Below are 24052 nucleotides of genomic sequence, written 5' to 3'. Positions count from 1 at the left end.
AGATTACCCACTAATATCCTATAGAGCTGGTCATTGCTAGGGTAAAAGTCAGGCTGTTGGAGAGCAAGTGGAAGACCAAAAGGGCATAATTCCCCCTTCCAAAAGTTTAAAGAGAGCACTGCCGTTCATGTATAACCGGCTACATTCTGTTGATCAATCTCATCTAGCCCCTACTGTATAATATTTAGTTTGCACAACATTCCAATATAGTGAGCTCCTAAAGAGCAGAAACTCTGTACTATTTATCTTTATAACTCCATAGCTTATCCAAGTGTTGGCATTTATTAGATACTTAATATATGCTTAATGGAAGAATAAATGAATTCCATTCCAAATAAGCATTGCCTCAGTGCAGGCACTATATCAATGGCAAGATCCAGAATTAAAATAAGACACAGTTTTTGCCCTTAAGGAGTGCTCAGTAATCAGCAGAATAAATATATGAGGGAATGAGAGCACCTGTATTGGGTGGAATTTTGCCTTTTAAGAGTCCTTTCAACCCTAAGATTCTATAAATCCATATTCTTTTCCTCAATTAAAATATCTTAGATGCAGCCTGGAGCTGTGGCTCACGCCTGTAATCCTAGCACTTTGAGAGGATCAGTTGAGCCCAGGAGTTCGAGACCAACCTGGGCAACATGCTGAAACCTCATTTCTACAAGAAATACAAAAAATTAGCCAGGCGTGGTGGTGCATGCCTGTAATCCCAGTTACTTGGAAGGCTGAGATGGAAGGATCATGTGAGCCTGGGAAGTCAAGGCTACATTGAGCTGAGATCGTACCACTGCACTCCAGCCTGGGTAACAGAGTGAGATCCCTTCTCAAAAAAAAAAAAAAAAAACCAAAAAACATATATAGACAAACATAGACAGACAGAGAGAGAGAGAGAGAGAGAAAGAGAGAGAGAGATTTTAGATGCAAGAACAGGAAAAGTGGCCATGCTATGATAGGTTATTCCTAGGTTTTTAATCTACTGTGGGCAATACTGTTCAGCTTCTAGCAAACCAAATAATTTGAGAAATCAACCTACAGTCAAATTATGGGATTCTTTTAGTGAATTTAAAGAGTTAGAGAACAGTAGATATTGGTAGAGATTTGTGTCAAACCTATACAAAATACATATTCCTCATATTAAGAAAAAAACAGACTTTCTGGCCCTGAAATTTAAATTTATTCTCTATATACTAAAGAATTCAAATCATATCTATATTAAAAACAATAAATACTAACATAATACAGGTTAAATCTGTTAATTTTTGATGTTACTTTTATTATTATTCTTCTACAGAGGATGACACAGGACATAGAGGTTAAGTTATTTGCTCCTATATCATGAAGTAGAAAGTAGTAGACCTAGGCAATTGAGCACCAGAATCCATGAAAACTTCACTGATGGCCTGTTGTAATCATGTTCTCTTACAAGAATTTTACTTCTTGCTCATCCTAGGAGGCCAATACACTGTAGTATGATTATTTTTGCCAGGTGTCCCATAAACTAGAATCAGTGCTCCATGATTAGTCTCTCTTCTGATGCAATAAGGCAAAAAATCATGCTTGGGATTTCAGAAGAGATGTACAAAGCAATACGGTGTCGTTAAGCATGAAAACATCTAGACCTTTACTGCGTTTCCTTGGTATTATTCATACAAAGTCAGCTATCACTCTCTCTGCCCCATTCCTCACTCCCCAGTCCAAAAAGCCACATTGTATTAAATAAATAATGATTAAATACAAATATATTATTCTACGCATTCACACACTTGCAAAAGGCAACAAGCCACCTGTTTTTCTAAACCATTTTGACTTACTGAGAGATAAGACAGTCTGAAAAGCAAGATAAATTCCATTTTGGAATCAAATTATCTTTTCCTCACTTAGTTTCACATATATTCTGTTTTTCACTTTGTGCTCTAAATAGTTAGTTAATTGGGACTATTTAACAGATTATATATGTTTCTTCTGAGAGTAATTGTACCTTAACAATAACTGAAGGAATTTTTATTTAATTTGCTAGTTGGTTTATGGTTTGCTAGAATTAAGCAGAAGCTGAAGTGCTCCTGACTGTAGGAGGTGAAACTCATTCATATTCTTTTGTAAACAAATTAATGGAGAGTTGCCAGTGTGTTTTCATCCCACAAAATCACCTTAGCAACATGGATATAAAAACAGCATGAACTTTCCCTCAGAGCCTCCAGTCTTTCCTAGCGTGAAGATTCAACAATAAATGAGACTAGCAAAATTCTCCGTTTAATTTAGTCTTATAAAATGAGTTTCAGAATTTCCACAAAACATAGATTTTAACAGTAAAATAAAAAGAGGCTAAATTTCTCTTATGTAGAATGATTAGGATTTCTCAATAGGGTTGTATTTGTTTTTTGTTTTCCTGACATGGCAGGAAACACCATGTACCCTTTGCTTGACCAAGTTTCAAATAATTTTAGAAAAAAAAAGGCAGAGAAAGTTATATTTTCAAATAATTAGGTCTGACTAACTTGAATCATGGGCTCTATGGTCACCAATTATACTTACATCTTATTCCTCTGGAGTTTGAGGAGTATGAGCTCTGGAAAATTGAGAAAGTAAAAGCCACACCGCAGTCATCAAGTCCATGCTAACGCCTGTGGGCAGGGCAAATCCTGGCAGAAGGTTGCTCTCAGATATCTGCAGGAAATAAGCCACAAAGCTTGCTTTGTTTTGGTGTTTTTTCATCAACTCTCATCTCTCCCACATGGAAAGGCCAGAAAACTCTCTACTTATTTATGGATTTCTTATAGTGTTGTTCCTTTGTTTTGGTTACTGCTTATCCACACTCTAGAGAAAGGAAAGCCAGGGAAACTATGGCACAAATGTATTTAAGAACTAAGCCTCTGGGTCTCTGCCATCCGTTATCTTCTCAGTTTCTTGTCTACCTTCCAGATTTAAAGGCAAGAATGATGAACACATAAAAAACACCTTTTCTTATGATGGTGTACTTTTTAAAAATTTTTGAATATTGCAGTAAGTCCTCAGCTAATTGTGTAAACAAAATTTTCACTGCTAATTTTTGAACTATGTGGAATATTGGGTAGGGAGTACCTCAGTGGATCACCTGGATGCCAGATGTATTCTTGCCTGCCCCAATACATAATGGCAGCGATACATACTTGTAATGATCAGAGTCCATTATCTGTGCCAGAATGGTAAATCTTTTCCTGGTCTTTGTACATGAAATCTCAAGTGCTGGTTGACTGAGAAGCAAATAGAGCTTAAAATCTTGCTAGTAAAAGCGCTCATCTTCTGTGAACAGAAATGCTAGATAGACCTGCAGAGCTCATTGTTGCAGAGTCAGAAGCATAAATTCTTCATGTGAGTCTCTAGGAGTAATAGCAAAAGGGGTCACTCTTAAACTTTACTTCTGTCTACTAGGGACATAACACTAGATAATGATCACTGATTTAGGATGTATCCTGCATCCTGGAGAATGGCACCCCATCTTTGCAGAGTGTTATCTCCAATCTTGTGCCTCTATGCCTTCAAAAAGCAGTTCCATCACTCTGTAAGACTGGCAGCTTTTTGGTAGTATGGTCTGTTATGGGAACAATATTCTTCACTGTGATATGTCCACGGCCATACCTTTTTTTCTTTCTTTAAAATGGTCCTTAGTCTGATATAATGTCAAGTGGGATACTATGTCTATGGATCGAGCATTCTGTAAACCTTCAGATATTGGAGATGGTCAAGGTTCCACAAGTGGCAAATGAAAACCCATACCTAGAATATGTGCTGATTCCAGTAAAAATGAATTGCTGCCTCTTCGAGGATATAATCAACTTGGCACCAAGTGACTGGTTAGTCTCCTTGAAAGATGGCATCCTATCAGGCTTTAGTATCGTTCTCTGATGCAGGCTAGTTGAATATCTGATAGCAGTGGTAGTTAGCCATAGTGATTATCAGTCTATGATGCTGGTAGGACCCATGAATAGTTTTCATCCCTGATAGTCTCTTCATGCATTCATTGTACCAGCACTGTGGTAGCTGATGACAGAGGCTGGCTGTCACATGTCAGCCAGCAGCAGACACAGTCATTCTGTCCACTTGAGTTCAGTGCTGTTTTCATGATAAATGCTTCCTGGTAGGCATTAATAATTACATAGAAACTTTTCAAATTTGTACTTACTCCAATAGGTCCATCACATGCCTCTTCCCCAGACTTCCTTGCCCCCAAGGTTTCCATTTTTTCCTTTCCAATCTCTGACCAAGCAGTCAAGCTAATTGCCACTGCTCAGAAATTTCTGTATATTCTTATCTTGGGCAATTTTTATTTCCATGCAAAGTATATGTCCTGGTACAATGCCTGAAACTCTGCCCATGAGAAAATCTTTACTCATTGCTTTCTTTCATGGCCCTGCTGAGTGGGATTGTAATAAAGCAGCAGCTCATTTTCAGTTTGTACTTAAACATGGAGAATACCCACCCATGAACTAAGCTTAGCCTTTTTTCTTCTCCACAAGCTGGTCAAAAAGCTACAGATGGGAGCTAAGGGAGAAGTACAAGTGCAACTGTGATTAATAACAAAAGGGTCTGGCCACCTGCACTTGCAGCTTATTGTGCTGTACAGCCCTCCTCAGGTCCAGTCCTGGATGTACATTCTCACTGCAGGATGAAATGCTTCTTGGATCGTCTACTCTTCTGAATTTATGAGCTGATTAAAACTCAGCTGATGATGGACGGTTCTGGCCACACAGTCATTTGATATCCCAAAGTCAGATGCTCTGTTTCTATCAGAACAAAGTAGCACATCAGGAAATGTTTTGAAAAGATGTATAATACTCTGCTGCAAGAGGCATGACCTTGTTCTAGAACCCTGGGAAAGTCATGGTGATTTTCCTAGTAGGGCTTGCCAGAAATTTCATGTGGTATCTCTCTCTACCACAGATAACATTATGTCTTTAAGATAGCACTAATCTCTGCCTTTCTTCTTGAACCACAACATTGTTTTTGACATGATATTGTCGAATGTGGGCAGTTTCAGTGGCTTCTACTTAGTCTTCCAGCTTAAATACTTCTTACCCAATATTGAGTCCAAGGCCTCAATATTAGGATTCTTACAATTACATTGTGTGTCCACTCCACTTGTACACTTGGGAACTGATGAATTTACCAATGGGTAGGTATGTGGTTCCACTGTGTGAACCAGACCTGTGATAGGACTCCATTTATTACTTGGCTCCTCTATGCCCCTACTCTAACACAGAGGCCATGATGACACTTTAGGTCCCTGCGTATGAATGTTAACTCAACTCCCATATTCGCATCATTCAAATGGGTTTTGTTTTTCCCTGGTATATAAGTTTACCCAAATAAATTGTCATAGGTCCCTTTGAGAAAGAACTGAGGGAATTATTACCATATTTGCTTGTGGTGGTATTTCAGGGCCTTTCTTTATGGGAACCCAGTCTCTCTCACAGTCAATGACTTCTGGGTCAGAAAATTGGCTTCAGTTTGAAAATAGAACAAAGAAATATGACCTTTTATTGTGACAGCTTCCTCAAGCTCCTGATCTTTCCACCTTGATTTCTTTTTTATTATTATCATTTTTAAATTTTGAGACAAAGTCTCACTCTGTCATGCAGGCTAGAGTGCAGTGGCATAATCTCGGCTCACGACAACCTCCGCCTCCCAGGTTCAAGCCATTCTCCTGCCTCAGCCTCCTGAGTAGCTGGGATAACAGGTGGCTGCCACCACGCCCAACTAATTTTTGTTTTTCTCGTTTTTTTGTTTTTGTTTTTATTTTTGTGTTTGTTTTTCTGGAGACGGAGTCTTGGTCTGTCACCAGGCTGGAGTGCAGTGACATGATCTTGGCTCACTGCAACTTCCACTCCCCTGGTTCAAGAGTTTCTCCTGCCTCAGCCTCCTGAGTAACTGGGAATACAGGCATGTACCACCACACCCAGTTAATTTTTGTATTTTTAGTAGAGATGAGGTTTCACCATGTTGGCCAGGATGGTCTCCATCTCTTGACCTCGGGATCCACCTGCCTCGGCCTCCCAAAGTGCTGGGATTACAGGCAAGAGCCACTGCGCCCAACCCTGTATTTTTAGTATAGACAGGGTTTCATCATATAGGCCAGGCTGATCTCAAACTCCTGACCTCAAATGATCCACCTGTCTCAGACTCCCAAAGTGCTGGGATTACAGGCATTAGCCACTGCCCCTGGCCCACCTTGATTTCTTTTGATTGCACACATTGAGTGATGCTTGTTGGCTGCCCTAAGGATACATGTTCTGTTAACCATCTTCAAAGCTCGTCACTGACCAGACCCTGGCTGACAGTCCATTAAAATAATTACACTCACAATTTCTGACCATTAAATGCCACCACCTGTTTTTTGTTTGCTTGCTTGTTTGTTTGTTTTTAATGTTGGGATCTAATCATCCCCATTGCTATGAGGAAGTTAGCACTGGTCTTCTCTTGAAAGACACTACTGAGTTTTGCAATGATGCTGGGACCCCTCTCACCTGCATATTTCTTATTGTATTGCTAAATGGTGTTCTCTGGGTGCTCCCACAGAACATAGTCAGCTGGTAGGTATTTTGATCCTTATGCACTATATCCACTCTAGCAAGCCACTTCTCTAAGCCTTTGATCTCTTTCCACTATTTGCATGACAGTTCTAGAATTTCTAACATCAGTTTTTCCAAGCTTCTGAAAGTCAGTGACTAGCATATTGGTATTGATCTTCAGGGTCCTTGCCAGTGTGTTATATTCTGTATCACTGGAGTGTGGTCCTATATCAGCAAATTCTCCCTTATCCAACCTTTTATTCTCTCCCCACTTGATCCACCATCCTCAAGAGCCAGTACCCATCCTCTCCCAACTCCTGATAGTACATATTTTCTAGGTTTTACAATAGTCCCTTTCCTCCATTAGCAGGTCCTGAGATTCCCAGACCAGATTGTGTTCTCCTGACTCGTTTTTTTTTCTTGTCCTGTGACCAGGAGAAAAAGTGGAAGTAGATTTGAGGGAAGGAAGGTACATGTTGCTTTGTAAAACAAAGGCTTCTGAATTTTTTTCAACAAAGAGGGAATGCTAATTTTTAGTGGAGAAAATTGGGTCACTAATGCAGTAGCAGTGAATTCAGAAAAACCTGGGGTTTCAAGGTGTTTTTAGTGCCTCAGCTCAGAGGTCACCATGACAAGTCTCAAAGTCTCACTCCTTCCTAACCAGGTGCTGACCTTAACATAACAGATTTGACTGGCCAGGATAGAGAATTCAACTATTTCAAGAGATCCACTACTCTTATAATTAACTCTTCAAATTTTTCTCCCCTTTCCAATAGTAGAAAAAGACTTTTTGCCACCAAAACTAACTTTCATATTTTGCCTTAAATTGATCATTAGTCTCCCTTAGCTGTTTATTATCCTCCAATGCATTGATGGAATGAGCCATTTGATTCACCTTTTCTTGTAATTGCTATGCTCCTTCTACCTTTCCAAGGACTGAGATATTTCACCTGCCTATTCCCACATCAATTTATCACCTATGAGAGTTTTAATAATTGCAGGACAGTGGCTAACCATATTCTACCTACCAACAGCAACAGGACTCTTATTCCCAGCCAGCTCCAAAATTTTCAGAGTCTCCTTCCCAGGACCACTCCTGGCGTCAACAGTCATAGGTTGGATTCCATAAGAAACAACCCCTGAGCTGGATAATTGCATCCACGTGGCTTATTGAAGCTACTCTCAGGAACAATGCCTAAGAGAGTAAAGAAAATAACGTTGCAGACAGGGATAAATTAAACTAAAAACAGTTGCAATAGAAGTCTAAACTGATTACCTGGGGAGCTCTAATGCTGGAATAACTTCTCCAAATTGGAGAAAGTGATACAGACAGGAGACAGGGAAATACTGAGTAGAAGAGGTCAGTTCCCTAGCAAAGACCCCACTCTAAAGCCTGGAAACCTGCGGCCCTAAATGGGAACAAGCATTCCTGGTTTTGTGCCCAAAATGTTGCCTTTTGGCCTACAATACCCCGTATCCCGTACCCATATAAACCCCAAACCTCCTGCTCCATGAGGCGATGAGCAGAAGAGCCGAGGAGCAGAAGAACTGCACAGCAGAGAAGGAGAGAAGAAAAGGGGCATCTGAACATCAAGAGGAGTCCAGCTGGGGATGGTAAGAGAGCAGTTTGGCCACAGAAGAGCCGAACTCCAGGGAAGATCATCTTCCCACTCCATCCCCCTTCCAACTCCCCATTTATCCCACTGAAAGCCACCTCCAACACTCAATAAAACCCTTGCATTTACCACTCTTCAAGTCCGTGTGTAACCTGATTCTTCCTGGATGCTAGACAAGGGCCCAGGTACCAATGGGGCGCTGACCTGGTTAAAACTTAAGCTGTCTGTGGACAGCAGAGCTAAAAGAACACTGTTACACTGGGGCTTCAGGAGTCACAAGCACCCACCCCTAGATGCTGCTGTGCGGCCAGAGCCCAGAAGTGCTTGCCCTGGTTTCTGCACCTGCCTGTCTGCATGCTCCCCCTCCTGTAAGGGGTTTGAGCTCATGGTGGCCAAATAAAGAGCCATGCCCCTGTCACACTTCCTTCGAGGGCAGCCAAGGAACTCTCCCATTTCAAAAAAAGATGAGAGGTGCATTTTGTAACATCCCACTTTGGAGTCATTGCATATGGGCTGCTGTGAGAAAGAGTTTATAATATTGGGCAAAACAGCTCTTAGGCCCAAGGCCATCTCCAAAGGAAAGACTCAGCAGGTCCCAATCCTTGAAATTAAGAAAATGAATGCTTACAGCCTGCATCCTGAAGGGGGATCTCGGCCATGCACCAAACAATTACTTTTGGTCTTGGCTATCTTATATGATTTGGGGGCAACATAGTTAATTCCCTAAATATGTTTTATTTAGGTATATCTTATTTTATGATTAATATTTTTAACATTAGTAAACCCTTACCACACCCAAACAACAAAAGAGGAGATGATCCAGAGCTATTCAGGGCAAAAGGGAAAATTCAAACTAGAATAACAAACCACAAAAAACTCAGACATATATAACCTATACATCTGAAGAACCACAGTTTGACTGTGTCAGGGAATTTGCAAGAGCCTTTGTACTAAGATCATGGTTTCTTAGTTTGTGAGTAACCAGAAATGTGGATTTTTATGACAAGACGAAAGGAGAGGTATGCTTTCATCTGGCATTCTTTAGAGGCTTGTGGTAAAGTAGGAGTTTACAGAGAGATTCTTTTGCTGCAATCAAAGTCAGAATCCCAAAGAACATGTATTAAGTGGCCTGGAAACCTCAGGTAAGCAAATGTAGTATTTGGAGGTTTCAATACGGTTTATTTAAATGTAGAAAGCACTGGGAAAGTTTGCATTGAAGACAGTTATAAATGCTTTAGAATCTTTATTTTATTATCTATACCATACTTTAATGTGTATGTGCATGTGTGTGCATTACCATGAGTGGGAAATGGCCAGCAATAAGTAGACTAACATAATGGATTAGGAAGGTAGGAGTTGTGATTCTGTGATGGTCTCTGTTATGATAACTAGAAAATACACACACACACACACAGAGAGAGAGAGAGAGAGAGAGAGAGAGACAGAGAAAGAAAAAGAGAGAGAGAGAGCAGGGTACTGTAAAGGAAACTATATAAGCACCAAACTAAATTGCCAAAGAGAAAAAGACAGCCAATTTCAAAATGAGAACTTGTGTCTGTGCATAATCAGTTATCTTTAATTCTATCAGGTTAAAGGGAACCTGGGCAAAAGAAAATGTGGGGCTCTTAGACTATCCATTCTCTAGGCTAGAAATCATCTAATTAGCTTTCTGATGAATTAAATTTGAGCTGAAAATAATTACATAAATTATTTCTGTAGTAAAATAATTCAGAATTCATTTATTTGAAATAATGTACGCTTGGACTTGTCACATTGCTGGTTTTCTCACTTAGACATTCAATTATCATCACAGCTAAAAAATCATTTATTAAAAATTATTTAAATGCATAAAAATGATCCATGTCACCAAGGTATTCATTTTCCTCTCACCTTTTTTACAAACACCTACTATATTTCAGACATTGCCAGGTACAGTGAATTAAAGATGACTAAGAAACAATTCTTGTTTTCAAGAAATTCACAATTTAATATAGATATAAATAAATATACCAGCTACAGAATAATATACAAAAGATGGTGAGTCATTAAATGGAACAATTATTGTCTATCATGTCCCACATTCTAATATTCATAAAATAGAATTAAAAAATGTTCATGATACATGAATTCATGGGAGGAGACATTTTATCTGGATTGGTTTGGAAATGATGAATGAGGATGTATATGTTTTAGGTAAGTTCATATGTAAGAGTTGCACTTGTCCAAGTGAAATAAGAGTAAGAGAGGAGAGTAAGAGAGTGAGTACTGATGTCCTCAAGCAATACGCATTCAGCTGTATATAGAAGCTGAAAAGAGGAACTAGATATATAGGTTTAGGTTAGAATAACACCCTGAGGGTAAAGAGGCAGAAAGGGTATGAGAATTGAAATTATTGTCAAGACACTTGTTCAACTCCATAGATTATGGTGTTCTCTATATTTAAACACCATAGATCATGGAGTCTAAGCAAGGTAAGGAAGAAAGTGAAGATGACAAATAGCTGAGGAATTGGAAGAGAATGAAGCAATCACTGGAATATAACTTTTTATGAGGCTAACAAGTATGGTACGGTGATGGAGTAAAAGCTGGAATGATAAGTTGTGGTTTGAGGTAAATTATTGGAGTTTGATATTTCAAAGGAGGAGACTTTCAAATCATCACAAAGTTAAGCACATATGAAAGTCAAAGGAGTTACAGAAATTGAAGAACTCTGAAGGGAAAGAGCATTGAGTCATCCATTTGCAGTTGAAAGTAAGGAGGAACATGGTGGAGAGGAAGACAGTGGGCCAACTGTGTCATCAGGGCAAGAATGCTCACTACACACAGCAGCTCACTTGTTAGGACTCCCCCCAGAATTGAATTGGTGGATATCTTCTCTTGCCTGGGGGAGAATGTAAAGATGACAACGAGAATTATTTCTGGGAGGCCCAGTTTTATCATGATCCCAGCTGTTCCTGTCAGAAGGATCTAAGGTCTCTAAATGGGCTTCAAGCAGAGATAATTTACATCTCAACACAAGCACAGGGATTAGCAACACAATCTTAAGGGTCTGTATACTTTATTGTGTTAATTTCCTCCTTAAAAAGAATTTTGTGTCTGGCTGCATCTAATTGGAAGGATGTGGGGTAACAGAAAGCTTAACTGTTTTGGGGCTCAGAAAGTCTTTATTGGCCCAGTTCTATATCTTGGATTAGTTGCCTTGTACACAAGTCACTTAATATCTCTAATCTTCACTCCAGCAAGAAGAGCATTTGGGAGCTAATATGAGATAGAAAGAAATATACTGTGCTCAAGAAACTAAGAGAAAACCACCAAAGTTGGAGAAACCGATGAGAAGCTGCACCTTAGAGGAGGATGAAGACGATCAAATGAATAATGGACAGAAATTGTATTTGTACTAATGCTCTCCCTATCCCTTGCCCCCACCGCCTGAGAGGCCCTTATGTGTGATATTCCCCTCCCTGTGTCCATGTGTTCTCATTGTTCAGCTCCCACTTATGAGTGAGAACATGCAGTGTTTGGTTTTCTGTTCCTGTATTAGGATAAATACCTACTGCATGGGATGGGTTGATGGGTGCAGCAAACCACCATGGCATATGTATACCTATGTAACAAACATGCACGTTCTGCACATGTATCCCAGAACTTAAAATAACTTCAGAGTGGATTTCAAACTAAACTGCAAGGCTACAGTAACCAAAACAGCATGGTACTTGTACCAAAACAGATATATAGACCAATGGAACAGAACAGAGGCCTCAGAAGTGACACCACATGTATACAACCATCTGATCTTTGACAAACCTGACAAAAACAAGAAATGGTGAAAGAATTTCCTATTTAATAAATGGTGCTGGGAAAACTGGTTAGCCATATGTAGAAAGCTGAAACTGGATCCCTTCCTTATACCTTATACAAAAATTAACTCAGGGTGGATTAAAGACTTAAATGTAAGACCTAAAACCATAAAAACCCTAGAAGAAAACCTAGGCAATACCATTCAGGACATAAGCATGGGCAAAGACTTCATGACTAAAACACCAAAAGCAATGACAACAAAAGCTGAAATAGACAAATGGGATCTAATTAAACTAAAGAGCTTCTGCACAGCAAAAGAAACTATCAGCAGAGTGAACAGGCAACCTAAAGAATGGGAGAAAGTTTTTGCAATCTATTCATCTGAAAAAGGGCTAATATCAAGAATCTACAAAGAACTTAAACAAATTTACAAGAAAAAATCAAACAACTCCATCAAAAAGTGGGCAAAAGATATGAACAGACACTTCCCAAAAAAATACATCTATGCAGCCAACAGACATATGAAAAAATGCTCATCATCACTGGTCATTAGAGAAATGCAAATCAAAACCACAATGAGATACCATCTCACGCCAGTTAGAATGGCAATCATTAAAGAGCCAGGAAACAACAGATGCTGGAGAGGATGTGGAGAAATAGGAACGCTTTTACACTGCTGGTGGGAGTGTAAATTAGTTCAACCATTGTGGAAGACACTGTGGCGATTCCTCAAGGATCTAAAACTAGAAATACCATTTGACCCAGCAATCCCATTACTGGGTATATACACAAACGATTATAAATCATGCTACTATAAAGACACATGCACACATATGTTTATTGCAGCACTATTCACAAGAGCAAAGACTTGGAACCAACCCAAATACCCATCAATAATAGACTGGATAAAGAAAATGTGGCACATATACACCATGGAGTAGTAATATGCAGCCATAAAAAAGGATGAGTTCATGTCCTTTGAAGAGACATGGATGAAGCTGGAAACCATCATTCTCAGCAAACTATCACAAGTACAGAAAACCAAACACCGCATGTTCTCACTCATAAGTGGGAGTTGAACAATGAGAACACATGGACACAGGGAGGGGAACATCACACACCAGGGCCTATTGTGGGGTGGGGGGCTGGAGGAGGGATAGCATTAGGAGAAATACCCAATGTAAATGACGATTTGATGGGTGCAGCAAACCAACATGACACATATATACCTATGTAACAAACCTGCACGTTGTGCACATGTACCCCAGAACTTAAAGTATAATAAAAAAGATTATAAATTAACACAATTATTTTTCCAATTAAAAAATATAAAAAGAAATTGTATTTGTACCAGGACACCCTGCCAGATATTATCATTGTAGTTTTTCTCTGGGAATCAAGGTGCTGAGAGTCACTTTAGATTTCTGCATCATTCAGGATACAGCCAGGAAAACACTAACCACTCTAAGACTTTCAAAAAGATGGATGTGGTTACACAGCTTCCTGAGTTCAGATTCCTTAGAAAGGACAATGTGAGACAAGGATTTGTGTGCACATGACTTTCTTTAGGAAGAGCTTGTGGAGGAGGACTAAAGCAGGATAAAGAAAAGAGCAAAGCCCTTTGTCAGATGAGTAGGTTGCGAAAATTTTCTCCCATTTTGTAGGTTGCCTGTTCACTCTGATGGTAGTTTCTTTTGCTGTGGAGAAGCTCTTTAGTTTAATTAGATCCCATTTGTCAATTTTGGCTTTTGTTGCCATTGCTTTTGGTGTTTTAGACATGAAGTCCTTGCCCATGCCTATGTCCTGAATGGTAATGCCTAGGTTTTCTTCTAGGGTTTTTATGGTTTTAGGTCTAACGTTTAAGTCTTTAATCCATCTTGAATTGATTTTTGTATAAGGTGTAAGGAAGGGATCCAGTTTCAGCTTTCTACATGTGGCTAGCCTACAATGAACTCAAACAAATTTACAAGAAAAAAACAACCCCATCAAAAAATGGGCGAAGGACATGAACAGACACTTCTCAAAAGAAGACATTTATGCAGCCAAAAAACACGTGAAAAAATGCTCACCATCACTGGCCATCAGAGAAATGCAAATCAAAACCACAATGAGATACCATCTCACACCAGTTAGAATGGCAATCATTAAAAAGTCAGGACACAACAGGTGCTGGAGAGGATGTGGAGAAATAGGAACACTTTTACACTGTTGGTGGGACTGTAAACTAGTTCAACCATTGTGGAAGTCAGTGTGGCGATTCCTCAGGGATCTAGGACTAGAAATACCATTTGACCCAGCCATCCCATTACTGGGTATATACCCAAAGGACTATAAATCATGCTGCTATAAAGACACATGCACACATATGTTTATTGTGGCACTATTCACAATAACAAAGACTTGGAACCAACCCAAATGTCCAACAATGATAGACTGGATTAAGAAAATGTGGCACATATACACCATGGAATACTATGCAGCCATAAAAAATGATGAGTTCATGTCCTTTGTAGGGACATGGATGAAATTGGAAATCATCATTCTTAGTAAACTATCACAAGGACAAAAAACCAAACACCACATGTTCCCACTCATAGGTGGGAATTGAACAATGAGCGCACATGGACACAGGAAGGGGAACATCACACTCTGGGGACTGTCGTGGGATGGGGGGAGGGGGGAGGGATAGCATTAGGAGATATACCTAATGCTAAATGATGAGTTAATGGGTGCAGCACACCAGCATGGCACATGTATACATATGTAACTAACCTGCACATTGTGCACTTGTACCCTGAAACTTAAAGTATAATAATAATAATAATAAAATAAAATAAAATAAAAAAGAAAAGAGCAAAGCAAAGATGTGGTTTAAGCAAACCCCAGTCCCTGGCCTGATCCACAGGGGGAGGAATCTGGAACATAAAACATGTCACAAAATCATCCCCTCCTTGACAAAACGAAGTTGACATTTTATAACCTTTATCATCACTGGCTGCACCTGCTCTGTGAGCTCCTGCCCGGCAAGTCTTAACAAAGGGACAGTTTTGAGGCCTTAGCAATCAAAGCTTATAGCAGGGTAATAAGTGCACCAACCCACTAGGAAGATCTAGACAGAAACTAGAGTACCTCCTGAAACAGCTGATGGGAGAACAAAGAAGCTCAAGAGGGAAAGGTGAGGCCTCTCAGAGTTTGGCAATAGCAGGAAGTAGCTATCATTCCGAGGCCTGGCAAGACCAGCAGAACAGGTGGTACTACAAGAGCCCAGAAGCCAGGCCAACCTGTGGGATTGAAACATGGCAGGCACTTACCCAGGGAGCTGGGACCCACAAGAAGAGGTGCTTTTTTGCAGAAATTGGAACTGTGGAAGAGATGCTCCTGAAAATGCCATGAAAATGGGGGGGGTGGGAGGAAAAAAAAATATGTGACTGCCATCTTTCCAACCCCTGACCCTAATCTTGCCTCCTATTGGATAAACCTACCAGTGAGCACAAGAGCCTCTGGAAGACACTTTTCCATCACTCAGAGCAGAGTAGGGGAAGCTTGGGGAACAGATCTCAGGGCCAACAGGAAGCTAAGTGAGTGCCCACTAGAGGAACTGAGGGCAGCTCCTACTAGAAAGGTCAACCTGTAACTCCACTGGCTGAAACTAGAGAATTCAGATAATCAGACTGTCTGCATGTAGTGACTCAGAATTGGGGGAAGAAAAGCTGATTAGGACGCCGAGTCTCTGAAGTGACAGCTCCCCAAATCAAGTCCAATTCTTGGCTTGCTGGACAGTTTGCAATCCCAACTGTTGCTATGTATAGGGAGTAGATATTGTTCACATTTCAAAATATATAATGTACAGTTCTTATTAATGCCTGATGGGCGTTCTGAGGATATATAGATGTCTCTTCTAACTCTTTACCTTTTCTACTTTCTAAAGCAGTAAAATTCTGCTTACAGCTATCAACCAAAAAGTATCTGAGACAGGGCTCAATCAATTTAGAAGTTTGTTTTGCCAACATTAAGGACAATGCCTGGGAGGAAACAAACACAGAATCATAGAAACAGTCTGTGGTCTGTGCCTTTCTCCAAAGATGACTTTGAGGGCTTTAATATTTAAAGGGGAAAAGCAGCCTGGGAAAAAAGGGTAAACGGGAGGATATGGATACATTACTAAATCTACATTGCAAGAGAAAAGGAGCAGGTAGAGTAATAGTCATGTATTCCTCTGGCACTCAGTAAATTAGTGCTCTATAGAAGATAAGGTGAACCTAGAGCAACTACTCATGGAGATTTTTTAACCTTTTATCTGAAGCTATCTGCTTAGGAACAAAAGGAAAGGCAGCTTCTTGCATGACTCAGCTTTCAGCTTAATATTTTTTCCTTTTGGCACAGTGAATTGGGGTCCCAAGCTTTTAATTTTCTTTTCACACAGCAAATTGTGAGTGGGGGGGTGGGGCTAATAATATTCAATCATCTTCAGGAATAAGAAATTTGACAATGCCACTCTTGCCCTTGAAAACCTGCATCAGCAGCACAACTTTGGCAACAGCATTAGATTAGATGATTCCTAGGAAATGGAAACCAAAATGACAGCTGAGTAAAAAAAATTATGAAAAGTAAAATAGACCACAGACTACACAGGTTTTTGGAAACAAAATAACTTACCTTTATCTTTCATTTCCCATTTAAAATTGATTTCTGTATTTTAAATCTACTGATTTGTATTTTTTATTGATCCCATTGACTCTTATCACATAAATATATATATATATAAAACATTTTCTCTCCAAATTGGCTATAAAAATGTGCACTGTGTGACAATCTGCAAGATACTCATCTAGAAGAAATGATCTATGGACATTTTGATGAAATGCTTTATTCCAATCCCATGCTTGGCTGGTGGTATTTTACAGGTTCATTTGCAAGTAGGTTCATTTTTTTAAACTTGCTTTTAAAGGTGGTGATGAGAAATTGGTAATTTATAACTTCATAATACCATACTCAGGTACTTCGTTGTCTTGGGATTCATATATCTTAATTGAATTTAGAACATCACCATTTGAGCCTCAAAAAGTATTCGCAAGTAGATATTTCTTTTCCTATAATGAGGATTAAAGGATCTGGGGCAGAAAGTTCTGATCAATTCAGGAGGTACTGCTTGTGCCCCAGAGGAGCCTTCAAAGATCAAATCCATGTTTTTATATGAGAACTTTTTGAAGTGCTTGAAGCAACTGCTAAAGTGTCTGGAATGTCTAGTGGTTTAAATGGTCTTTTCTGGGAAATGTTAAACATTAACTTTCTGAAAATGCATAATTAGAGAAGGAATAGAATGAATTCACATACAAGAGTGGTATGAAGGGTAGTGTGTTTGGCCATTCTTGCATTGTTTTAAAAAATGCCCGAGACTGGGAGGATCACGAAGTCAGGAGATCGAGACCATCCTGGCTAACATGGTGAAACTCCGTCTCTACTAAAAATACAAAAAATTAGCCAGGCGTGGTGTCACATGCCTGTAGTCCCAGCTACTTGGGAGGCTGAGGCAGGAGAATTGCTTGAACCCGGGAGGCAGAGGTTGCAGTGAGCCAAGATTGTGCCACTGCACTCCAGCCTGGGCAACAGAGCAAGACTCCATCTCAAAAAAATAAAATGCCGAGACTGGATAATTTATAAGAAAAGAGGTTTAATTGGCCAATGGCTCTGCAGGCTGTCCAGGATACACAGTATTGGCATCTGCTTCTAGGGAGGCCTTAGGAAGCTTTTACTCAGAGAGGAAGGTGAAGCGAGAATAGGTATCTTACATGGCAGAACAGAGCAAGAGAGAGAAAGTAGTGGGGATGTGCCACACACATTTAAACGACCAGATCTCCTGAGAACTCACTCACCATTGCAAAGACAGCACCAAGCCATGAGGGTCTGCCCCATGATCCAAACACCTCCCACCAGGTCCCGCCTCCAGCACTGGGGATTACAATTCAACATGAGATTTGGGCAGGCCAAATATCCAAACTATATCGGGTAGCAAGTAATTCACATATAGGGAGAAACATAGTGTGTTTTTTTTATTTTTTCACTTTACAAACTCCTCTTTCATAATAATGTTTTATCATGGTGGGAAATTACAAGAAAGAGTACTGGAAAAGTAGAGGAAGAATATTGGGAAGGGAAAGTATGGTTATATTTTAAATAGATTAGAAAGGGGATTGCCTCTCCTTCCAATGCTACCAGTCTGCCTTCTATGATGTAGGCAGTAGACTCCCCAGCAGAAAGTAGTGTCTTGAGGTCATCTAGTCTATCTCCCATCCTTTAAGCAAAATTATGCCAGATACAAGATAAAACATAGGTAACAGGAAAAAATTCCTAAAATATCACATGAACTACAATGAAAAGCTCTCCCTGCTGCCATGTCAATTCTCATCATTACAAAAGCACCAAGTAGATAGTTTGATCTCTATAAGTGACTAAAGACAATTAATCTGGCAACTTTCATGGTGACCATCTCAGTAAGATGGAGACATGGGGAGATTTTTCTAAAAGAGACTCTAGATCCTGTGGCATCTGTCCACTTGTCTAGGAGTTGTCCTCCCTCGCTCTAGCCTTTAAGGTCCATCATCTTCATCAGCCACACATATGTATTGGGTGCCCACCTTGTGGGACATACATCATACTATACTATGAGGGATGCCTAAGGGAGAGGAAATGGCCTCTGATGTCCAGGAGCTACTGATCTCACTAGCTCTGTCTGTTCCTCTCCTCTTCTACCCTTCAATGATTCTAGCATTCTGGAATATTGAGCACACATGCTCCTTTCCATGAGTTCTCTAATCACAATAGTTTCCTTTCTGAATGTCTCTTACTTTCTGGAATCAGGAACTACAAAAAAAAGGGGGGAGAGGGTGTCACCAGAGGCTGGAGTGGCTAAGAAATACTTCTGAAATAAGAAGATATAAAGGTTGAGCCTAAAAGAACCAGCCATAGTGGCACAAGTGTGGAGAGGTAGGAAGGACCATCTAGTGAAGAAGATGATACATGAAAGGTCCAGAGGTATGGAATCAGAAATGCTAAATGTGTTCTGCTTAAGCCACTGTGGAAAAAAAGTTTGTATAGTGCCGAGACCAGCTCCGTCATGGGGACCCTAACCCAGTGGCGCTAGAGGAATTAAAGACACACGCACAGAAATACAGCGTGTGGAGTGGGAAATCAGGGGTCTCACAGCCTTCAGAGCTGAGAGCCTCGAACAGAAATTTACGCACATATTTATTGACAGCGAATCAGTGATTAGCATTGTTTCTATAGATTATAGATTTACTAAAAGTATTCCTTACAGGAAACAAAGGGATGGGCTGAAATAAAGGGATGGGCTCTGGCTAGTTATCTGCGGCAGGAGCATGTCCTTAAGGCACAGATCGCCCATGCTATTGTTTGTGGTTTAGGAACACCTTTAAGCGGTTTTCCACCCTCGGTGGGCCAGGTGTTCCTCGCCCTCATTCCGGTAAACCCACAACCTTCAGTGTGGGCGTCATGGCCATCACGAACATGTCACAGTGCTGCAGAGATTTTGTTTATGTCCAGTTTTGGGGCCAGTTTATGGCCAGATTTGAGGGGCCTGTTCCCAACAGTAAAGAAAATAGTGATTGCATAGATCAGTGCAATCAGACTTTAGTGCTGTCCAACAGAAATGTAATGCAAGCCAAATACATAATTTCAAATATTCTAGCAGACATATTTAAAAAGTAAAAAGAAATAGGTGACATTCATTTTAGTAATATATTTCATTTGATTTAAATACCCAATATATTATCTTCATATGTAATTAAATATTATTCATGTGATTTTTATATTCTAGTTTTGTGTGAGGCCTTTGAAATCCAGTGTGTACTTTACATTACAGCACATTTCAATTCGGACTAGCCACATTTGAAGTTTTCAATAGCCACACATAACTAGTGGCTACCATATTGGGCAGCACAACTTTGAAGTACACGAGAATCACCTGGAGAGCTTGTTAAAACACAGATTGCTGGGTCTCACCCCCAGAGTTTCTCAGAGTTAGTAAATCTGGGGTGGGGTTCAATAATTTGCATTTCTAACAAGTTCCCAGGTGATGCAGATGATGGTTAGGAACTATACTTTGGTTCCACTGGTATAGATAAGCCACTGGTATAGATAAGTGGCTCTCAAGCCTGGCTCTGTGTGTTAGAAATACCTGAGGAGTTAAAAGCAAGGAAAAATTTTCTAATCTCCTGGCCATACCCTGGGCCACTTACACCAAAAACTTTAGAGGTGGGGTCCTGGCCTTGCTACTTTTTAAAAGTTGTCCAGGAGATTTTTACCAGCCAGATCAGAGAACCACAGAGGTAGGAAAAGAAAAAACTAGAAAGATGCTTTAATAGAAAATGGAAGTCTAAGTTTAAAAAAAGAAAAACAACTAAATTTTGTAGGTAATTTTTAAACAGGGCAGTGATATAAGATGAAAGCAATATTTTGACTTGCTTGAGTTGCTTGCCCTGGTGAAATAATAACCTACAGCAGGAAATGGTTAGAGAAAGGTTTAAAATCATTCAAGTGCTTGAAGAAATGAAGTAGGGCAATGGAAGGAGGGGAAATGAGAGAGTTACTCTCAGTCCAATTACATGACTATTCTACAAAGTGATGGAATAAAGGGGATGAACTATGTTCCAGTGGGCAAACTGTGGTATCTGTTTAGTTCAGCATAGAGCCATAAAATACTGACCACAAATGGAAATGCCTAAAAAGGCCCTGTAAGAAAGGTAACAGAAAAGGAGTGAGGAGGAAAAGCACTAAAAATGGAGTTAGATGCACACATTGTGTGAACGGTGGAGGTTATATTTGATTCAATTTGTTAGGCCTGATCTCAAGGGGGACGGTCCTCTCCTGTTATTTATCCCCTATTTGTGTCCACTCCTCTTGCTGCTAAACTTTTTCATTTTTTTTTAGACCAGACATGGTCCTCTCTTCAAGACTCGTGGTCTCTCGGAAGTAGAATCTCCTTGTCTGAGCCTCTGGTTTCAGGTTGAAACTCTAGGGAAATGAGTTCTCAAATATGCATTAAGTCAGCTAAAACTGTGAACAAAGGCAACAAAGGTCAGCTGTTCATGGAGAAACAGTCCCAGTTCTGGGATGACTAAAAATAGAGATATGTGTGGGTGGCTGACAAGCATAAGTTCATAAGGAAAATGAAGATTTCTAGACCTTTAACCACATTATCTATCAAACGCCATAGGCATATACTCTGTAAGAGCAGAGATGAATTGCTGCCAACATGTCACATAATTTAGGTCACATAATAGAGAAAAGCCAAAATAATAAATAAAACTCCTGGGCCGGGCGCAGTGGCTCACGCCTGTAATCCCAGCACTTTGGGAGGCCGAGGCGGGCGGATCACAAGGTCAGGAGATCGAGACCATCCTGGCTAACACGGTGAAACCCCGTCTCTACTAAAAATACAAAAAATTAGCCGGGCATGGTGGTGAGCACCTGTAATCCCAGCTATTCAGGAGGCTGAGGCAGGAGAATGGCGTGAACCCGGGAGGTGGAGCTTGCAGGGACCTCCAGCCTGGGCGACAGAGCGAGACTCCATCTCAAAAATAAATAAATAATAAAAATATAAAATAATAAAAAAATAAAATAAAACTCCTGGTAGCATAGGTCCTCTCCACACCACCTCATATATGGAATTGAACTCACTATGCCAACAGTAACCAACAGAAAATAGCTGAAGTGATAACTGCAGGTATCTGTCAACACATATTTAAAACGTTATTTCATGTCACTATAATTTATACCCATCTTTTCTCCTTGTTTCAGGCTAATTCCATTCAATATAAGAGTTTGGACAGCCTCCAAAGCCTGTTAATGTTAATAAGAACATTGATAAGATTCTTAACAAGTTTTTAGACTAAGCTGTCATTACCTTTACTACATCCTAGATTCCTTGTTCTCCATCTGGTATTTTCTTTCTGTTCCCTTGACATCTCTTCTTACTCATCTATAGTCTTAAAACATCCCAGTGAGCCCATTAACAAATTGCCAAACCAGATTGGCAATTAAATTGCATCCTTGAGCCTAAATTTTGTTTCTGAAGAGTCTTCTTTCTTTTTACAACATGCCCCCTGAAATTGCTGGCTCAAATCTTGCTGTGGGCCAGAGATCCTTTTTTCCCAAAATAACTGCACTCCCAGATCCATGATCAATAGGCTACAGAATGTCATCATCCTTGTCTAGGAAATCTCCACGCCCTTGTCTAGGAAATCTCCACGCCCTTGTCTAGGAAATCTCCATGCTGTACTGTTGTTTATCCATAAATTCACAATCACTTTTGATTTCTTGGGAAGGGAATTATTTTTGAAACTAGACTACCTCGGTTAAACATTCTGGATCTTACTAATCTCCATAGTTTTCATTGGCTTTTATTTAAGAGTCCTCCATCTAGTTCTACATGTCCTACTAATAACAACAACAACAAAAACTACTTTTCTACTCGCTACACTTCTGACACTAAATGTGTTTTTCCACACCAGCAACCGATTCTCCAACTCTTTGGACACCAAATGCATGTCCTATAATTTAATTCAACTGAAACTAACTACCTGGAATTAGTGCAGACCCCACAGTTTATGGGTTCAATCATACAAGACTGCCCCCCTCCACTTCAGATGCCAATTGCAAGTAGTGTACCATCAAATTACTCACACCTCTGTCTGATTTGGCTATAAATTGGGAGTTCCTGTGACCCTCTCCTCATACTTGATAATTTGTCATAATGGCTCACAGAACTCAGGGAAATCGTTTACTTACATATACTAGTTTATGATAAGAGATATTATAAGGATTCAAACAAATGGCTAGATGAAGAGGCACATAGGGTGAGGTCCAAAAGAGTCCTGAGAATAGGAGCTTCTGTCCCATGGAGTTGGGGCCCACCACCTTCCCAGCATGAGGATGCATTCATCAACCTCAGAGCTCTCTAAACCTCATTGTTTAGCGTTTCTATTGAGGTTCCGTTTATCATGCCTCTTTTAGAAACATGATTGATTAAATCATTGGCTATTGATGATTGGCTCAATTTTCATCCTCTTTTCACTCCCTGGAGGTCAGGAGTAGGGCTGAAAGTTATAACTCTCTAATCATGCTGTAATCTTTCTGGTGACCAGCCTCCAATCTGAAGTTATCCAGGGGTCCCTGCCACCAGTAATCTCATTAGCATACAAAAAATACTCTTACCACTCAGGAGATTTCAAGGATCTTAGAAGCTCTCCTGTCAGGAACCAGGGACTAAGACCAAATATTGTAACAAAAAAATGCTTCTAGCACCCCTTTTGCTCAGAAAATTACAAGGATTTTAGTAGTTCTGTGTCAGGAACCTGAGACAGAGACCATATATATATATATATATATATATATATATATATATAGTTTTGATGGTGATGGAAAACAGTCAATTGCTGTATTATAAAAAGAAAATTATGATCCTTCCTTAATGACTGAATCTCAGATTCAATCAAGAGACCATGAAATACTAATTTTCATTGTCACTCTAACTTTCCAAAGGAAAGTTAAAAGTTATTTAGATTTAAAACTTAAAATACACAATTGATGAATGAGTTCACTATTTTTAATGATGCTAATATTAATGGTTCATCAAACCTTTTCAAGGCAGAAATGATTCAGAACATTTACCTTGTGAAATTAATGAAAATAAAGGGATTAAAAAAATTTCTTGGAATTGTGAATAGGACAGGAGTCAGCATCTACTCTAAGGACTTCTTCAGATGTTCAAGCCTTGTTATCACTCAAATCAGTCTTAGGGTCTTTGCACAGTGAAACTCAGCAAATATTTCCCAAAACAAGGTAAGCCTTATTGGATTTATTCAAGCCGCTGTGCTTTGCAAGGCTGGAAAATGCATTCATCAGAGCTTGGATTTCTAAAGAAGAATTGCACCTGCTATTACACAGAGTAGGCGTTGGAACATTCATTCTGGGTAAACTTCTTTACAATGTAATCTGTTGGAAAATAGCTACAGCAGATACAATACCCCAACTCTCATTTAATTAGTATTTTTTGGAGGCTCCTAAGCCTTCTTGCGT

At 39.8% G+C, this 24052-nt stretch overlaps 1 long non-coding RNA gene across 2 annotated transcripts in view; it reads right to left on the bottom strand.

The window, feature by feature from the left end:
- LINC03109 (long intergenic non-protein coding RNA 3109) overlaps positions 1–24052 on the bottom strand; it is a 66028-nt gene that overhangs the window by 26738 nt on the left and 15238 nt on the right. For both annotated transcript variants that reach the window (XR_002959654.2, XR_001740975.2), the window contains exons 3-4: positions 7571–7737; positions 2530–2661 (exon numbers count right to left, since the gene is read on the bottom strand). This is a non-coding gene — a long non-coding RNA (long intergenic non-protein coding RNA 3109). The remainder of the gene's footprint in view (positions 1–2529; positions 2662–7570; positions 7738–24052) is intronic.

The sequence above is a fragment of the Homo sapiens genome, chromosome 3 (genome assembly GCF_000001405.40).
Source record: "Homo sapiens chromosome 3, GRCh38.p14 Primary Assembly".
NCBI classification, from domain to species: Eukaryota; Metazoa; Chordata; class Mammalia; order Primates; family Hominidae; genus Homo; species Homo sapiens.
The sequence above is the reverse complement of the archived record's forward strand: the minus strand, read 5'-3'. Positions and strand labels throughout refer to the sequence as shown.